Source organism: Homo sapiens, chromosome 6 (assembly GCF_000001405.40).
Source record: "Homo sapiens chromosome 6, GRCh38.p14 Primary Assembly".
NCBI lineage: Eukaryota > Metazoa > Chordata > Mammalia > Primates > Hominidae > Homo > Homo sapiens.
Genome location: NC_000006.12, coordinates 33091236 through 33112051, shown reverse-complemented (window position 1 = coordinate 33112051; position 20816 = coordinate 33091236). Strand labels below are relative to the sequence as shown.

At 42.5% G+C, this 20816-nt stretch overlaps 2 pseudogenes; both read left to right on the top strand.

Annotated features, from left to right (window-relative positions):
• Positions 4908-8359, top strand: COL11A2P1 (collagen type XI alpha 2 pseudogene 1; annotated as a pseudogene).
• HLA-DPA2 (major histocompatibility complex, class II, DP alpha 2 (pseudogene)) lies at positions 18738-20570 on the top strand (annotated as a pseudogene).

Sequence of the window (20816 nt, the reverse complement as noted above, 5' to 3'; positions counted from 1 at the left end):
TAGAGAGATTAGAGTATCCATCCCAGAACTGAAAATGAGGCCTGGAGTCTGTTTTGCCTTTGTTCAAGGCCGTGCTTCAGATTAGTGCACATTCATATTTTCTTCCTCCCACATGTCTGTGAGTCCTGAGATGTGCGGGGGATACTGGCTCCTTCCATAGGACTGTCATCAGGGTCAGCAGGGCTCAGTCTAGGGGCCTTACACCTGGGAGCATGGACACACCACCTACACTACCATGGAAGTATGCAGCTTGAAGGACACTGCCTGTCTTGGACTTCAGTTCTTTGTCTTCAGTATGGGGATGATATGACCTGCCTTTACAGCAGGGCTCTTAAGGTCAAATTAGATCAACGGATCTGTAATTGCTTTGGAAAAATGAGACTAAAAATTATACAGTGAATGAGGAAGAAATGAAAAAATGTCATAAAAGACCCTACATTTTCCAAAACATCTGATTCTGTGGTGTTTATACTGAATAGTTTCATAAACTTTCAAAGAATATTACTCCTTAATTTAAAGACCTATAAATGTGATCCTGTACGACCTCCTAATCTAATAAAGAAAATGTAAAAGTGGCATCATTTGTTTATATAAATGTTAAAATGTAAATAGAAGACTAGCATGTAAAATTCAAGAGAAGAAAATAATTATGCAGTAGAAGGGGCCAGTATAGGATTGCGGGGAAAAAGCTCACGTTCCCTGCCATAGTCACCAAGACAGCATGGTACTGGTATAAAAATAGGCACATAGACAAAGGGAACAGAATAGAGAACCCAGGGATAAACCCAAATACTTACAGCCAACTGATCTTCGACAAAGCGAACAAAAACATATGGTGGGGAAAGACACCCTTTTCAACAAATGGTGCTGGGATAATTGGCTATCCACATGTAGGAGAATGAAACCGGGTCCTCATCTCTCACCTTATACAAAAATCAACTCAAGATGGATTAAGGACTTAAACCTGAGACCTGAGACTATAAAAGCTCTAGAAGATCACATTGGAAAAACCCTTCTAGACATTGGCTTAGGCAGGGATTTCATGGCCAAGAACCCAAAAGCAAATTCAATAAAAACAAAGATAAATAGTTGAGACTTAATTAAACTAAAGAGCTTTTGCACGGCAAAAGGAACCATCAGCAGAATAAACAGACAACCCACAGAGTAGTCACAATCTATACATCTGACAAAGGACTAATATCCAGAATCTACAATGAACACAGGCAAATCAGTAAGAAAAAACAAACAACCCCATCAAAAAGTGGGCTAAGGACATGCATAGACAATTCTCAAAAGAAGATATACAAATGGCCAAGAAACATAAGAAAATGCTCAACATCACTAATGATCAGGGAAATGCAAATCAAAACCACAATGTGATACCACCTTACTCCTGCAAGAATGGCCATGATAAAAAAATAAAAAAACAGTAGATATTGGTGTGGATGTGGTGATCAGGGAACTCTTCTACCCTGCTGGTGGGAATGTAAACTAGTACAGCCACTGTGGAAAACAGTGAGGAGATTCCTTAAAGAACTAAAAGTGGAACTATAATTTGATCCAACAATCCCACTACTGGGCATCTACCCAGAGGAAAATAAGTCATTATATGAAAAAGATATTTGCACATACGTGTTTATAGCAGCACAATTCACAATCACAAATCATGGAACCAACCCAAATGCCCATCAATCAACGAGTGGGTAAAGAAACTGTGATATATATATGATGGAATACTACTCAGCCGTAAAAAGGAATGAGTTAATGGCATTTGCAGCGACCTGGATGAGATTGGAGACCATTATTCTAAGTGAACTAACTCAGGAATGGAAAACTAAACATATATTCTCACTGATATGTGGGAGCTAAGCTAAGAGGATGAAAAGGCATAAGAATGATACAATGGACTTTGGGGACCTGAGAGGAAAGGTGGGAGGGGGCAAGGGATACTGCTCAGGTGATAGGTGCACCAAAATCTCACAAATCATCACTAAAGAACTTACTCATGTAACCAAATACTACCTGTACCACTATAACCTACGGGGGAAAAAAGCAACATAACCATGAACCAACTAATAAAAAACAACCTTGCCTTCAGTCTGCATCCTACCCTAGAGACACTCTCTCTGTGTCCTCACACTTGGAGCTAAGCTTCTGACTTTTGTCTCCAGTACACCCCTGAGGATCCTCTCATCACGGCCATCAGAAACCTCTGTAGAAGGTCAAATCCAGTGGGTTCTTGTCAGTGCCTCTGACTTGAGTTACTGATAATATTTGCACCATAATCCACTTCTTTCTAATGAGCTACTCTGTCCTTATTTTTCTCCTATTTACTGAATCCTCCTTATCATCCTTTGAAATCTCCTCTTAATTATTATGTTCTCTCATCATACCCTGAGATCCCTGCATTTCTGATTTTTGGCACTCTTCCTGGAAAAGCTCATCTAACCTGCACCTATGCTTGATGACTCTCAGTTCTCTGGCTTAAACTCCTCTACTGAGACCACCCATCATACAAAAATGTTTACATATTATTTTTCCTTAGATAACTTTTAGACATTCTAAGTGCAATAGCCCCACACTGAACTCAGTCTCTTCTCTCAGTCAGGCTGTCTTCTCTCATTACCCTTTTTAATGAATGGAATCAAGATGTTTGCATTGGGTTGGGGAGATGTTGGTCAAAGGATACATCCATTTCATTTCATTTAGGATACATTTCAAAAGATACATTTCATTTAGATTGGAGGAATAATTTTAAGAGTTTTATTGTATAACATGGACTATAGTTGCTAACAATGTATTGTTGAAAATTGCTAAAAGGGTGGATTTTAAGTGTTCTCACCACAAAAAATAAGTATGTGAGGTGAGCCATAAGTTCTTTAGCTTGATGTAGCCGGTCCATGATGTACATACATTTCAAAACAACATATTATACATGATAAATATAAATAATTTTTGTCAATCAAAATAATTTAGAAAAGTGACACACACTTACACACACACACACAAAAGAGATGATTGCATTGGCCAGTCTAGGAATAAGAGTTATCTGGGAGTTTTCTAAGTCGGATGCCACCGACATCACTCACCAATAATCCCTTTAATGTCAATCAAATTAAGTCCTCTTCTTCCATCATTTTACTCCTATGCCCATTTCCTCACTCTTTGTTCAGGCACTATTAGTCTTGCCTCTTGAACCAACTTCTTTCACTCATGCTGCCCACTGTTGCCGTAGTGATCTTCCTAAATTGCAAATGCGCCATCACTCTCCTGCTTAAAATCCTTCAATGATTCCTTATGACTTCCAGGACAGAGTAGCCACTCCTGAGCTTTGCATGTAACATCTGTCATGATCCAGCCCCTGCCTGTCTATTTTTCCTTTTTTCTTGCTGCTGTTCCACATCCAAAGCTGGCTCCATTCATACTGAAGCAGCTGAAGTTCTTCAGATATGTCATTGCCACACTGGGCCCACACTTTTGAACCTGCTTCCTCCTGTGTGAGAAGTGGCTTCTGCCCTGTTTTCGGACTGCCTACATTGAAGCCATCTGTTCCCCAGGAAACCTTCCCTGATGCCTTGACAGCAGCATCTTGTGCCTGCCCCATATCTGCACTTATCCATCTGGGCCTGCTGTTGTCTTGTCACTTGTGTTCTCTTCTGTGAACTGTAAACATCAGGAGGACAAGACCTATGTCTTACTTTTATTTGAATATTTAGCATCTAACAATGTTCGACATATAGTAGGCTTTTGATACTATTTTTTTACTATGACATTGTAGTATATGTTAATATCCAGTAGGACATAGGATATATTCTCTCTGTTTTCAATTTTTCATTGTTTACACACATTTATAATTCTATCTATAAGGATTTACAATTATTTACATGAAATGAATGAAATAAATAGAGAATGTTAGATATTAAGAGACAGTGTGGAAAGCCAGGCTGGGACTAGGGATGCACTTACCTTAGGTGCAAAATTTAGGAGGATACCAAAAGAACTCAGTAATAAAAGTCAATCATATTTTAATGAAATATCTTAAGAAATCTAAATTAATGGAAAATATATAATGAACAAAATGTCAAAAGAGAACTATTCAAAGAAAATGGAGAAGCAGAGAGGCAGAAGAATTAGTAGAATATACTGGCACATAAGCCAAGGAGGTAAAGATTTCCAGGAAGGAGGAAGTAGAGTGGAGTCAGAAGTTCAACAGAAGTCATTTCAGAAATCTTACCTTGGTTTTGAAATCCTTTCAGAGAGCAGTTTTACATAATGTGAGCAATTATTTCTCCTTCATCCCCATCATTCCAGAATTGAGCTTCTTCTCTGGCTTCAGAAATGTGGCCCTTCCCCTTGTCAGGATATGTTGGCGACATGATGCATGCGGATGCCCTCAAAGTCAGCTGGGGTTTGGGGGTGAAATTAATTGACTTTAGGGAACTCCTTGAATGCTAAGTTCTGTTCACCTGGAGGACCAGAGAGGGCACAGAGATGACCACCTAGCTTCTGCCTGGGACCTAAACAGGGCAGAGAAATAGGAGGATCAGGTATAAAGGGAGCAGGGAAGATGGGTCTGGGCTTACAGTACTGAACCCAGGGATGACAGTAACTGTGTGTGTCTCGAGGCAGGTGACAAAATATGTGAAAGGAAGAGGACTTAGGAGAGATCTGAATTCCAGCTGTTTTACAAGCTATATCTCAGCTTTCTTTCTCAATTCATGTGCTCTCTACCCCAAAGGCTGATGGAATTGCTGACCCTTCAAGTTCTCTTCTCATCTGCACCCCTTCCCTCCTGCTGCACACTGTTCAGCGACATCACACACTTCTCCAGCCTCCTCTCTTCCTAGTCTTACCCCTTCCCAGTTTCCATAACTGAACTGTCCTGTTGAGGAGTTCTTAGCAGCCCTCTGTGACCACAAGTGCAAGTTGCACTCCCTTCTGAGACAAAGTCCCCCATTTATTCCCTCCTGAGGGCGTGTCCCTTCCCCTGACCCTCATGGACTCTCCCAGGTGCACCCCCTGTGGATTTGCTCCTGGGCCTGAGTTTCCCCTACTTCCCTGATGGTGTCTGGAGGGCAAGGGGTATCTGTCTATCTACTGAGTGTCATAAACTGCCCAACTCAGCACACCCACCCTCTACCTCTTCCTAAGTGTAGTGACACGGTGAGGGAGGTAATGGGGTGGGGTCTGGAATCAGACACCAGGAGGAAAGGGGTGGTGGCTCTCTTTGCCTCTCACTCTGTGTGTATTTCTCTCGGGTACCAGGAGGATTTCCTAAAGATTTCTTTCTCCTGACTGTTTTCTGGACCCGTCCTGGTCTCCAAGCTCCCCTCCTGATTCTCTGCAGTGCCCAGGTGTCCAACAGTTGAGCCTGGAGCCAGGCCAACTTGTCAGCTTCCTGTATGAGGATCAGACTGGACGACTTCAACCTGCTTAGCCCGTCTTCTGAGGCCTCACCCTAGTAGTTGGCAAGTAAGTCTATTTGCTCCTCTGGTCTGCCTGGCCCACACTTTTGTGAGAAAGTGCCCTAGAACCTGTACGCTCTAAACTGTGAAACCCTGTTCCTTCTTTTGGCCACAACACACCTACGCACTGCCCAAAGTTCAGTCACTTCTAGCCCAGAGTTTGGGCTTAGAGTGCATCCTTCTCTGCAAGTTGTGTTAGCCTGTACCTTGGGCAAGTTACTTAAATTTTTTGAGCCTCAGTTTCTACATCTTAGGATGGACAGTAAATAGAATTGGCACAAACAAGTGAGAAAGTGATGGCACAGTGTTTGTTGCACTGTAAGCACTTGATAAATGGCAGCTATTGTGATTACTGCTCTCATCGTCATTGGTTTCAACTTTCATCAACAGATCTCCAACCCTGTTGACGCCCCTGCTTCAGTCAGTCACTTGAACCTCTCACTCCATGACCAGGTGGCACCTTGTGGCTATGGCCATGAAGGGCCAGTCTGTCACCCTCATTGTTGACTGCAAGATGTGAGTCACCCGGCCTCTCCCCTGAAGAACTAGTCCAGTGTTGGACACCTGTGGGGTGATAATTGTTGGTGCCTGTATCCCAGATGAAGAAAGTCTTTGAGGTTACCACAAAAATCAGAGAAAGGAGTGACTTCTGGTCCCTTATTTTGTGCCCACTCCTCTTCTGGCCCCAGTATGCAATGTTCCTATTTCCTAAGCCTTCATTTTTTTTCTTGTGAATTTTGATTTGCATTTCCTATCTTCAGGACTGCTGATCTCTGCAGAATAACTAGATGTCCACTTATGTGGCAGGACTGTCCACAGCCACTTATTCTATCCTTCAGTCTTCATCTCTCCATCTATCCATCCCTTGAACCTATCTCTCTCCTCATCCACCCCATCCATCCACTCATTCACCAGTCCACCTACGCACACATCCACCACCCACTCCCGCAACCATTTACCCACCTATGCATCACAAACTTACCCATCTACTCATGCATGAAGGCTTATATCCACTCACCTGTCCATCCTCCCCCTGCTTAATGACTCTCCCCTTCTTTACACACATCTATTCGACTATGCTTTTGTTCATCTGTCCTCTTCAACTTATCCATCCATCTATTCACTCACCCACCCACTCACACACCCCATCTACCCATGCATACAAGGATGCATGCATCTGTTCAGCCACCCATCTATCCATTATCCTTCCTGGAACTCAACCACTCTCTCCTTCAATACACTCATGCACCCATCTCCTCACCCACTCACTTCACATCCAACCGTTCACTCAACCATGTATTCAATTCCACCCATCTATCTATTCACTCATCTGATTCCATCTACTCTGTACCTCCCGCTCATCTACCCACTAAGCCTTGCATGCATAATTCCCTCTGCAGGAGTCCCATTGTACCTGTTTTGTGCCTTTCTTTTCACTCTGGGTCATGGTAGCCATATTGTTGAAGGTTCACTTCCCAGATCCTCTTTTCTTGGCTGCTTCCTGTCTGTACAGCCACTTCCTGTTTGTCCAGTTTGTTTTGTGGCCATCTTGGCCATGTTTAATTTTCCTTGGCCCTGGCATCACTCTTGCATCCAAGTGTTTGTCATTTTATTTTGTGTCCCTTAGTTGTTCTCATATCTTCCAGTATTCTCTGTCAGTTGGACTGCTTCCTGTCTACTCTGCTACATCTTCTGCCTGCCTTGCAGTTATGGCTGCCTTTTCTACCCTGCTGCTGCATCCCACACCTCCTGCTCTTGGCACCCGTGAGCTTCTGCTGCCTTTCCTTTATGCTGCTGTCTGGGTCTTTGGGGTTGATGTGGGATCTGGGAGAATTTTGAAACGGATCATTGCTGTCAGGATGAAGGTGGAGAGGGGCATTCTGAAGATCTTTGTTTTGGGGAGTTGGGGTGGTGGTGAATGTTTCACCTTCTCCCCACCCTTATCTTGGCTATGGCCTGGATTTGGGAACAGGCATCTGAATGGAGGTGTGCAAGGGAGGGAACTGGTTGGCTTGGAGTGTACATGAGGGCCAGAAGAAGGGCAAAGCATCCTGCTGGGAGAGGAACTGTGGGGTGCATTGTAGGGGGCTGCTCTGGGGCTTGGATAACTGAGCCCAAGAACTGTATGTTTTGCAAAAGGCAGTTATGAGGCCTGAGTTTGGAATATCTCTGGGAAATGCTCTCCAAATTTACTTGGAGTATGGATACTTAACCTGTGCAGGGTTTTTACATTTTTGAACTCCTTCAAATTCTAAATAAAATTTTGTGCATAAGGGCATATACCTTTTCTTTTTTGGAGAAAGACTGAAAGACTCAAAGTCCTCTTTCTGAAAGAGGCTCTTCAGGATTTGGAGAGGTTGTGTTTGCTGAGGTGGGACTGAGAACTGGGGTGCAGGGAACCCTGAGATCTCCTTGGCAGGCATGAGAGTTTTGTGAACAGAAGTATTTAGAGGAAGCCTGTGGGGCTTGTGGGTAGGGCTGGTCTGGTCTCCAGAGGACCCAAAATCGAGGTTGGAGTTGAGATGGGGGCAGGCCTGGTGTCCTGGCTGCTCATGGGCCCCACTGGGGTTACATGTGTGTCTCCCTTAGGCTGCCCATGGGCCCCGGGGGCTGAAGGGAGAGAAGAGAGAGCCTGCAGTGCTGGAACCTGTAAGTCATGCTGGTCACAGGGCTGAGGTGGTGGAAAGAGGAGAAGCAAGTGGGGTTTAGTGTGCTGGCCCTGTCACCTGTGAGTTTTAACCTTTGACTCCACAGGGTATGCTCGTGGAGGGGCCCCCTGGTTTAGAAGGCCCTGTGGTGAGTCTAGCAGTGACCTGGTGGCCATTGTTTTCTTAGAGATCCCTCCTATGTGTTCATCTGTGCCTTCCCCACATATGCTCAGGCCTCCTCCTCAGAACTCCGGAGGGTCCTTCCAATAAAAGTTTTTTAAAAAATCATTTTGAAAAATTAATTCAATAGTTTTTGGGGAGCAGGTGGTGTTTGGTTATATGGATAAGTTCTTTAGTGGTGATTTCTGAGGTTTTGGTGCACCCATCACCTGAGGAATGTACACTGTATCCAGTGTGTAGTCTTTTATCCCTTACCCAGCTCCTACTCATACCTGGAAGTCCTCAAAGTCCATTATATAATTCTTATGCCTTTGTGTCTTCATAGCTTAGCTCCCACTTATAAGTGAGAACATACAATATTTGGTTTTCCATTCTTGAGTTACTTCCCTTAAAATAATGGTTTCTAATTCCCCCTAGGTTGCTGCAAATGTTATTTCATTCTTTCTTATGGCTGAGTAGTATTCTAAGGTATATAGATCACATATATATCATATGTGATCTATATATAGATCATATATATATATATGTGATCTATATATATATATATATATATAGATCTATATATATATAGATCACATATATATATATCACATATATATATATCACATTTTCTTCATTCACCCATTAACTGATGGGCATTTGGGGTGGTTCCATATTTTTGCAATTGTGAATCATGGTGCTGTAAACATGTGTGTGCAAGTGTCTTTTTCATACAATGGCTTTTTTCCTCCAGTAGTGGGATTGCTGGATCAAATGGTAGATCTATTTCTAGTTCTTTAAGGCATCGCTGTACTGTTTTCCATAGGTTGTACTAGTTTAATTTCCCACCAGTAGCATAGAAGTGTTCTCTTTTCATCACACCTACCCCAACGTCTATTTTTTTTTTTATTTTTAAATTATGACCATTGTTACAGGAGTAAGTTGGTATCACATAGTGGTTTTGATTTGCATTTCCCTGATAATTAGTGATGTAGAGCATTTTTTCATATGTTTGTCAACCATTTGTATATTTTCTTTTGAGAATTGTCTGTTCCTCTGCTTAGCCCACTTTTTGATGGGAGTATTTGTTTATTTCTTGCTGATTTGTTTGAGTTTTTTGTAGATTCTGGATATTAGTCCTTTTTTGTATGTATAGCTTGCGAATATTTTCTCCCACTCTGTGGGCTGTTTACTCTGATGATTATTTCTTTTCCTTTGAAGAAACTTTTTAGTTTAATTAGGTCCCATCTATTTATCTTGTTTCTTTTGCATTTGCTTTTGGGTTCTTGGTCATGAACTCTTTGCCTATGCCAATGTCTAGAAGAGTTTTTCCAATGTTCTAGAATTTTTATGGTTTCAGGTCTTAGATTTAAGTCTTTGATCTACCTTGAGTTGATTTTTGTATAAGGTGAGAGATGAGGATCCAGTTTAATTCTTCTGCATGTGGACTGCCAATTTCCCCAGTACCATCTGTTGAATACGCTGTCCTTTCCCCACTTTATGTTTTTGTTTGATCAGTTGGCTGTAAGTATTTGGTTTTATTTCTGGGACTTCTATTCTGTTCAATTTGTCTATGTGCCTGTTTTTATACCATTCCCATGCTGTTTTGGTGACTATAGCCTTGCAGTATATTTTGAAGTCAGGTAATGTGATGCTCCAGATTTATTCGTTTTGCTTAATCTTACTTTGGCTATGTGGGCTCTTTTGTAGTTCCATATGAATTTTAGGATTGTTTTTTTCTAGCTCTGTAAAGAATGATGATGGCATTTTGATGGGGATTGCATTGAATTTGTAGATTGCTTTTGGCAGTATGGTCATTTTCACAATGTTGATTCTACCCTTCCATGAGCATGGGACGTGGTTCTACTTGTTAGTGTCATCTATAATTTCTTTCGGCAGTGTTTTTAATTTTCCTCGTACAGGTGTTTAACCTCTATTGCGGGAAGTCAGGGACCCTGAATGGAGGGACCGGCTGAAGCCACAGTGGAAGAACATAAATTGTGAAGATTTCATGGACATTTATCACTTCCCCAATCAATACTCTTATAACTTCCTATGCCTGTCTTTACTTTAATCTCTTAATCCTGTCATCTTTGTAAGCTGAAGATGTATGTCACCTCAGGACCCTGTGATGATTGCGTTAACTGCATAAATTGTTTGTAAAGCATGTGTGTTTGAACAATATGAAAACTGGGCACCTTGAAAAGAACAGGATAACAGCAATTTTCAGGGAACAAGGGAGATAACCATAAGGTCTGACTGCCTGCAGGGCCAGGCAGAACAGAGTCATATTTCTCTTCTTGCAAAAGCAAATAGGAGAAATATCGCTGAATTCTTTTGTCAGCAAGGAATAGCCCTGGGAAAAGAATGCATTCCCGGGGGAGGTCTCTAAAATGGCCACTCTGGGAGTGTCTGAATTACATGGTTGAAGATAAGGGATGAAATATGCCCTGGTCTCCTGCAGTGCCCTCAGGCTTGCTAGGATTAGGAAATTCCAGCCTGGCAAATTCTAGTCATACTGGTTCTCTGCTCTCGAACCCTGTTTCCTGTTAAGATGTTTATCAATGACAATGTGTGCCCAGCGGGATGTGGAACCTCATCAGTGATTCTAGTTTTGCCCTCTGCCTTGTGATCTTTTACTGCCCTCTGAAGCATGTGATCCCTGTGACCCATTCCCTATTCATAGACCCCCACCCCTTTTGAAATCCATAATAAAAACTTGCTGGTTTTGCGGCTCAGGTGGGCATCATGGAACCTGCTGACATGTGATATCACCCCCGGAGACCCAGCTGTAAATTTCTCTCTTTTGTACTCTTTCTCTTTATTTCTCAGACTGGCCCACACTTAGGGAAAATAGAAAAGAACATACTTTGAAATATTGGGGGCTGGTTCCCCCAGTAAACCTCCTTGGTTAGGTATATTCCTAAGTATTTTATTTTTTTGCAGCTACTATAAAAGGGGTTGAGTTCTTGATTTAATTCTCAGCTTGGTCACTGTTAGTATATGGCAGTGCTACAGATTTGTGTACATTGATTTTGTATCCTGAAACTTTACTGAATTCATTTATCAGATCTAGGAGCTTTTTGGATAAGTATTTATGGTTTTCTAGGTATACAGTCATATCATTGGTGAACAGTGACAGTTTGACTTCCTATTTACTGATTTGTCTGATTGCTCTGGCTAGGATTTCCAGTACTATGTTGAATAGAAGTGGTGAGAGTGGGCATCCTTATCTTGTTCCAGTTCTCAGGGGGTATGCTTTGAACTTTTCCCCGTTCAGTATAAGGTCGGCTGTGGGTTTGTCATAGATGGTTTTTATTACCTTAAGTTATGATCTTTGTATGTCAAGTTTGCTGAGGGTTTTAATAAAAAAGCGATGATGGATTTTGTCAAATGCTTTTTCTGCATCTATTGAGATCATATGATTTTTGTTTTCAAATCTGTTTATGTGATCTATCACATTTATTGACTTGTGTGTATTAAATCATCCTTGCATCCCTGGCATGAAACCCAATTTATCACCATGTATGATCTTTTTGATATGCTGTTGGATTATGTTAGCTTGTATTTTGTTGAGGATTTTTGCATCTATTTTCATCAGAGATATTGGTCTGTAGTTTTCTTTTTTATTATGTCCTTTCCTGGTTTTGGTATTAGGGCGATCCTGGCTTCATAGAATAATTTAGGGAGGATTCTCTCCTTCTCTGTTTTGGAATAGTTTCAGTAGGATTGGTACCAATTCTCTTCTTTGAATGTCTGATTGAATTCAGCTGTGAGTCCATGTGAATCTGTGATTTTTTATCGTTGGCAGTTTTTTAAAAATTACCATTTCAATCTTTCTGCTTTTTATTGGTCTGTTCACAGTTTCTATTTCTTCCTGATTTATTCTAGGAGGGTTGTATATTTCCAGGAATCTGTCTTCTCTAGGTTTTCTAGTTTGTGCCTGTGAATGTGTTCATATTAGCCTTGAATGATATTTTATATTTCTGTAATATCAGTGGCATTTTCTTCCATTTTGTTTCTAATTGAGGTTATTTGGATCCTCTCTTTTCTTGGTTAATCTCACTAATGGTCTATCAATTTTATGTATCGTTTCAAAGAATCAGCTTCATGTTTCATTTATCTTTTGTATTTTTTTGTTTCAATTTCATTTACTTCTGCTCTCTTTGTTATTTCTTTTCTTCTGCTGGGTTTGGGTTTGGTTTGTTCTTGTTTCTCTAGTTCCTTGAGGTGTGACTTTACATTTTGTATTTGTGCTCTTTCAGACTTTTTGATATAGGCATTTAATGCTATGAACTTTCCTCTTAGGACTGTTTTTACTGTGTCCGAGTGGTTTTCACAAGTTGTGTCACTATTATCATTCAGTTCAGAGAATTTTGCATCTTGATTTCACTGTTGACCCAAAGATCATTCAGGAGCAAATTATTTAATTTCCATGTATTTGTATAGTTTTGAAGGTTTCTTTTGGAGTTAATTTCCAATTTTATTCCACTGTGGTCTGAGAGGGGACTTGATATAATTTTGATTACCTTAAATTTGTTGAGGCTTGTTTTGTGGCCTATTATGTGGTCTATCTTGGAGGATGTTTCATGTGCTGATGAGAAGAATGTATATTCTACAGTTGTTGAGTAGAATGTTCTGTAAATATCTGTTAAGTTTATTTCTTCTAGTGTAACTTAAGTCCATTGTTTCATTGTTGACTTTCTGTCTTGATGACTTTCTAGTACTGTCAGTGGAGTATTGAAGTCCCCACTATTATTGTGTTGCTGTCTATCTCATTTCTCATGTCTAGTAATAATTGTTTTATAAATTTGGAAGCTCCCATGTTAGGTGCATATATGTTTAGGATTGTGATATTTTCCTGTTGGAGTTATCCTTTTATCATTGTATAATGTCCCTCTTTGTCTTTTTTAACTGTTGTTGCTTTAAAATCTGTTTTGACTGATATAAGAATAGCTACTCTTGCTTGCTTTTGTTTTCCATTTGTATGGAATATCTTTTTCCACTCCTTTACCTTAAGTTTTTGTGAGTCCTTACACATTAGATGACTCTTGAAGACTGAAGATACTTGGTTGCTGAATTTTTATCCTTCCTGCCATTCTGTATCTTTTAAGTGGAGAGTGTTAATATTGAGATGTGAAGTACTGTTCTATTTCTCATGCTAGTTGTTGCCTGAATTCCTTATTTTTTTCCTTTGCATTACTGTTTTATAGGCCCTGTGAGATTTATGCTTTAAGGAGGTTCTATTTTGGTGTATTTTGGAGTTTTGTTTGAAGACTTAGAACTCCTTTTAGCATTTTGTGTAGTGCTGGATTGGTAGCGGTGAAGTCTCTCAGCATTTGTTTGTCTGAAAAAGACTTTATCTCTCCTTCATTTATGACGCTTAGTTTTGCTGGATACAAAATTCTTGCCTGGAAATTATTTTGTTTGAGGAGGCTAAAGATAAGACCCCAGTCTTTTCTGGCTTATAGGCTGCTGTTAATCTGATAGGTTTTCCTTTATAGGTTACCTGATGCTTTTGCCTCACAGCTCTTAAGATTCTTTCCTTTGTCCTGACTTTAGATAACCTGATGACTATGTGCCTGGGCGATAATCTTTCTGTGATAAATTTCCCAGGTGGTCTTTGAGCTTCTTGTATTTGGTTGTGTAGATCTCTAGCGAGGCCAGGGAAGTTTTCCTTGATTATTCCCTCAAATATGTTTTCCAAACTTTTAGATTTTTGTTCTTCCTCAAGAATGCCAATCATTCTTAGGTCATTTAACATAATCCCAAATTTCTTGGAGGCTTTGTTTATTTATTAAAGTTCTTTTTTCTTTGTCTTTGTCTGACTGGGTTAATTCGAAAGGCTTGTTGTTTGAGCTATGAAGTTCTTTCTTCTACTTGTTGGATCCTATTGTTGAAACTTTCCAGTGCATTTTGTATTTCTCTAAGTGTGTCTTTCATTTCCAGAAGTTGGATTGTTTCTTCTTTATGATATCTACGTCCCTGGGGCATTTTTAATCCATATCCTGTGTTTTTAAAAAATTTATTTAAGTTGTTTTTCACCTTTCTCTGGTATCTTTTTGAGTAGCTTAAAATCAACCTTCTGAATTCTCTATCTAGCAATTCAGAGATTTCTTCTTAGTTTGGATCTATTGCTGGGGTCCAGTGTGGAGGTGGTAGGGGAGTGAAGTAGACTCTGTGAGAATCCTTGGTTGTAGATAGACTTAGTGTGGTGGCTTTCTCAAATGCTGGTTATGCTAGCAGTGCAGTTGTCATGTGAACAGACCGAAGACCACTGGTTAGTCAAGATTTTTCAGCCAGTGGAATTAGCTGTTTTCTCCTTTCTTAGAGCAGTTATTCTGTCGTGAATTGTTGTAATGTCCTGAGTTGGTTGGCCTCCAGCCAGGATGTGGTGCTTTCAAGAGGGCACCAGCTACAATAGTAGAAGGTGGATATAAGCTTGCCCTAAGTTGGCCAAGATAAATATTCAGTTTCTCAGGCAATGAGTGGTGTCATAAAGCTCCCAAGAGTTTACGTCTTTTGTGATTGGCTACCAGGTGGGTAGAGAAATGCCCTCAGGTGTGGACAGGGTTAGGCAGGTCTGAGCTCAGACTCTCCTCGGGCGGGGGGCTTGCGGCAGCCACTGTGAGGGATGGGGCGGAGGGTTTTTCTCCAGCCAATGGAATTATGTTCCAGAGGGCATTATGGCTGCCTCTGTCACCAGAGAAGTAGGGGAAACCTGGTAGCAATAGGCTTCACCCAGCTCCCATGCAGTTGGCGAGGCAGGTTTTGCTCCTGCTGTGCCACACTAACAGCATTGAATTTATCTCCCTGCAGCCTTCAGGATGGACTCAGACCTCACTCCAGGCTATAAGTTTCCTGCTGAGAAAGCAAGCACAGCTTTCAGGCCATGTGCCTCCCTGTCTGCCCACAATGTTGGCAGTAACTTCTGCTCTTTCTCCAGCAGTTCCGTTCGCCCCCAGATTCTGCTCCAGAGGATTTGTGCCCAGTCAGAATTATAACAAATTTCAGTTGGACGCTCCTTTCACACTGTGACCCCTTCCAAATTTTGCCGTCTGCCTTCCCCCAGGGCCCTTGTGAGATATAGTCAGGGGTGGCTTCCCTGGGCTTGAGCTAAAGACTGGGCGTGCCTACAAGGCTCTTCTCACTGCTGCATCTACCATATATATATATTTTTTTTTTCTTTTTGTTGCGACGGAGTCTCACTCTGTCACCCAGGCTGGAGTGCAGTGGCGCGATCTCGGTTCACTGCAGGCTCCGCCTTCCGGGTTTATGCCATTCTCCTGCCTCAGCCTTCCTAGTAGCTGGCACTACAGGCGCCCGCCACCACGCCTGGCTAATTGTTTTGTATTTTTAGTAGAGACGGGGTTTCATCGTGTTAGCCAGGATGGTCTCAATCTCCTGACCTTGTAATCCGCCCGCCTCGGCCTCCCAAAGTGCCGGGATTACAGGTGTGAGCGGCAGCGCCCGGCGTACTTTTGTATTTCATGCTAAATCTGTTTCAGGTCTAGGTAAAGTTAAATCCTTTTCCTGTAATCTGGATTTTCGAGTTCCCCAGTGGGGACATGGGTCCGGAGGCAGGTTTTTCCCCTCTCACGCTTTGGGAACGCACAGTTTTTCACTTGTCTGGTGGAGTTTGCAGTGGCCCCTCCCTTCTTTAAAAGGATCTGTGAATTCTTTCGATTTTCTGGGTATTCTCCTGCAGTGGTTCCTTTCTTGAGGGATCTGTGAAGTGAGTTCCTCAAGATATTTCTTGTCAGGTGAACAGTCTGTGGTCTCTGCAGGGCCTGTACCACCCCTGGGCACTGTATGCCCCACAGAGTGGGCCTCTCCTGTGCAGGGCCTGGGAAGAGGTTGATTATAATCTGGTGTCTGAGGCCTGGCAGCACCACACTCTCTTCAGTGAGTCAGGCTCAAGTCTGAGCACATCTGCAGAGCTTATGTTTGCTGTGTTGCTCATGGAAGGCAGGGAATCCAAAATTGTTTTCTTAGAGATGGACTCTCACTATGTTTCCTAGGCTGCTTTCAAACTCCTGGCCTCAAGTGATCCTCCTGTCTCGGCCTCTCAAATCACTGAGATTACAGGTATGGGCCACTGTGCCCAGCCTATTATCGATTTTCTCCCATTTCATTCAGTCCTCAACCCAATGTACTCTCTCTTTTTCTTTCCCTCATCTCTGATGCTCCTCTCAGGGTGGCAACTAATGACTTTTATACAACTCAAGCCAGTGGTCACTGTTCTGTTTCTGTCTTATGTGTGTCATTAGTGTGTTTGAGATGCCCCCTCTCCTCTTTCCTGGAAGTTTTCTCCTGTCTCTTGTCTTTTATGAACCCACTTCCTCTCTGTTTTCCTACCAATTTCTAGTCCTCTGCTTTTCAGCCTCTTTCTTCATGTCTGTGTTTGTCTGGATGCAGGAGCACACACTCAGATCCCTGCTATCCTGACTTTGTGTACTTTTCTTGAGTGACCTGACCCAAAATTAGAACTTCACCCACCATGAGCCTCCTTCCAGTTTATGTCACTAACCTAATGTAGCATGACACTCATCCATTTATTTCACTGCCTTCAAATCAACTGTATGTTTTCCCCTAGAAGTTTAAATTCAGTATGTCTCAAACAGAAAATTTTACCTTCTCTCAATCACTTAATTATCACCTTTGCAGGCACGGATGCCACAATTCTCCACGTTGCGTGGTTATTCTCGACTTCTTCATATCCCTACTTCTGGCATGTGATTTAGTGATTCCTGTGGCCTCTCATGTCATTACTGCCATCAAATCCATCTGCTGTCCTCCTCACCCCATGTTCCTGCCCTGGCCTACGCCTTCATTACTTCCCACCAGAGGGCTTAAAAGTGCTACTGGTCTTGCCTTGAGTCCCGCCTCCTCCAGCCCATCCTTCCTACAGGTGCCCCATCCAAACACAAATCTGACCGTGTTACTCTCCTGCTTAAGATACTTCACAACTTCCTATGTCCTGTGGGATAAAATGCAAACACTTGCCATCAGCACACAAGGCAGGTTACAGTGCTGCCTGGCCCACATCTCCCCTGGCTTCAGTCACACTGAAGAACTGCAGTTCTCCTTGCAACTTCATGCCTCTCTGCTCCTGAGCCTGCTTCTCCTGCTGGAAATGCCATTTCCCCTTTCTCTGTTTTGCTATCTGCAGGTGAACACTGTCCCTAGGAACCTTTCCTAAATCGTATTTTAATTTTGCTCCTGAGTAGCTCTTGTGTATACCTTGTGATACTCAGTGGTGATCAAACCACACATGTAGCAATCATCTTTTCTTTGTCTGTTTTATTCTTGAATTTCAAGTAGATTAAGGACAAAGTTCCCATCTTTAGAGTTTCATCCTTATTACCTAGAGAGTGAAAGTTCACAAAAAGCATTTATTAACTGAATGAAAATTAACATTTGAAGTGTGGAATTTGCTTCAAAATGTGCCAACCTTTAGTTTTCAGATTTTGTAAATATAATAAATACAAAGTAACCTAAGCTGAACCAATTACATCTGTGTAGCCCAGTCTATACACCATGTATTTTTCTTTTTCCTTTGGGATTCATTTCTGTAGGTGAGTAATCCTCTAGACCCTAAACTCAGTGGGGGACCCTCACCATCCGTGTGCGGCACTGAACCTGCTGTCACACTATGCATCTAAGTAGAGGACTGGTTCTCCCCATGCTGGGCTGGGAGGGGAAATCCTCACTTAGGGACCACCAACCATGCAGTGTCATTTGGCTTCACTTCCTCTTCCAGGCCGAACCCTAAACTCTCTGTAATTCACTGTAATAATAATTCACTTTTTGTTATCAACCAGTTGCTGCTTCTTATGTATCAGGTAAAGCTAAGATACTATCCCATAGGTCTTTCAAATGCCAACAACTTGTATTTCCAGGTGAAACTACACTTGAAAACTACACTCCACAAGACAATTTTGTGAATGTTATGTGAATGATAATACTTTTAAATTTACTCTGCCTAAAATGTAAGTGTTGTGGATAAAATTATAGAAGGTATCATTTTTCTTCTAAAAGTAAGAATGTAACTTGAAGTCTATAAATGTCACTAAGACTCTGGAGGTATTTTCATGTCCTTCACGATTTTGTTCCACTCTGAAATATTTATTCCATCCTTCCACTTCCCTGCCTTGCTTTATGGCTATATCAGTAATTTTTAATGTATTGTCCTGTAGGGTTTCTGAGATCCTACAGGAATGAGGTAGGAGGACTACTCAATATTGTTTCTACCAGGAGTTGTGTGACTTGGACAAGTTACTTTACCTCTGGGGTCAGTTCCCTACTATGGAAAATAAGTTCTTCTACATGGGGGTGTGAAGATTCAATGAGTAAGTTTAGCACATAGTAAGTGCCCAATAAATATTATCTTACTGTATTCAGCATTACCATTATCATAGACGGATGTTAAGTCTTCAGGGACAAGGGAAACAACCTATATCGTCCATGGGTCATTTCTGTCTTTGTTTCTTCTCACTCCTTTTCTTTTCTTTCATTTGCATTTCTCATTTTCTGTGTTATTCCTTCATGTTCCCAATAACCTTCCTGTTACCTGTTTGCTTCCTGCATTCTGTGTAGCATCCTACGTATTCACCCATTCTCCATCTTCTCCTTCATGCAGCAGACCATGTGTCAACATATGCGGAGTTTGTGCAGACGCACAGACCCTCTGGGGAGTATATGTTTGAATTTGATGAGGAGGAGCAGTTCTACGTGAACCTGGATGAGAAGGAGATGGTCTGGCCTCTACCAGAGTTTATTCACACCTTTGACTTTGGTGCTCAGAGGGGTATTGCTGGCATCGTCATGGCAAGGAAGCACTTGAACACCCGGATCAATGGTCCAAACAGACTTGGGCCACAAATGGCACTGCCTATAGCTGCCTGTTCCTCTCAGAGGGGTATTGCTGGCATCGTCATGGCAAGGAAGCACTTGAACACCCGGATCAATGGTCCAAACAGACTTGGGCCACAAATGGCACTGCCTATAGCTGCCTGTTCCTCTAGAGTCCAGCTGGAGGGATGGGAGGGCCTCTCTGCCACACATAGAACTAGAGGCCATGATGCCCACTCATGAATGAGCCCCTTCCCTGAGAGCGAGAAATCTTGGGTCCACACAGCTGGGTTCTTAGGACAGCAGAGGAGGAGGCATTTTCTTCTTACTCAAGAGAAAGGCTGGGCTGAGGGGGCCAGGTCAGGAGCACGAGAAGCTGTGACCCTGTCCAGGAGCCCTAGGGGAGCAGGAGGATGGGCCTGGGAGAGGTGGCCCCTAATCTGGTGAATATAGGACTTGGGGTGGTGGAACCTTTAAGAATCAGCCAATGGCAGTAGGCTCCTTGGGTTCTATCCCCTTTTGGAGCCCCCACCGAGGTAAGCGTCTTTCCCAAGGAGCCTGTGGATCTGGGCCAGCCCAACACCCTCGTCTGCCATGTTGACAAGTTCTTCCCACCAGTGCTGAACATCACGTGGCTGCGCAATGGGGAGCCAGTCATTGAGGGTATTGCAGAGACCATCTTCCTGCCCAGCAAGAAACTCAGATTACACAGGTTCCACTATCTGACCCTCGTTCCCATGGCCGAGGACACCTGTGACCTCCAGGGGGAGCACTGGGGCCTGCACCAGCCTCTCCTCAGGCACTGGGGTATGGAGCGCCCTCCCTCTGCCCTCACGGCCTTGGCACCACCTTTATTTCCTGGGCCCATCGCCCCTCAGCACCTGCCTTCCTCAATCCCATGTTTTATGGTCACTTTATCCAAATTTCACCATCTCATGGTTTCGAATACCCAACACCTCCCACATCCAAGGCCAGCCCCTGCTCTCTGTACCTTATAACTCTGTCTTCCCTTGGTGCCCCAGAGGTCCATGAACTAATCCAGGTGCCTGAGACCATGGAGATGCTGGTCTGTGCCCTCGGCCTGCTGGTGGGCCTGGCGGGGGTCCTTAATGGCACCATTGTCTCAAAGACCAAGCGATCTGACAGCATCCCCGGGTCCAGGGGCTCCTATGAGTCATCCTATAGGTGTATTAGGGACAGAGTGGAAAAGACGAGGTAACAAGTTAGGGGTGAAGAGTGGGAAAGAGAAACACTTCACCAGGGGCTCTTTGAGCATTGATGTTTTACTGCCATTGGGCTGGATAAAAACATTAACAAATGTAATGAGAAATGACATTCATTGAGTTGCTTACTATGTTCTAGGCACTATTCTAAGTGCTTCTCATGTGTTCACTTATTTACATCTGGAGGTTGGTTCTTATTTATTTCATGTTACAGAGCAGGAATCAGACACCGGGAGAGGTGAAGACCACACAGCTTCAAAGTGCAAAGCTTGGATTTAAACCCAGGCTTTGGGCCTGCAGTGGCTGCAGTCTTGTCCAGTATTTAGATTATTTCATCTGCAGTCACTATCTGTCTTCCTACATTTTACACAGCCTTAATTTTCTTCTGCCCGCAGAGTGATGTTCAGAACTTCCAATGCTATGTTAAACATTTCCAGCAACGAAGGACATCCTATCTTTTGCACAAT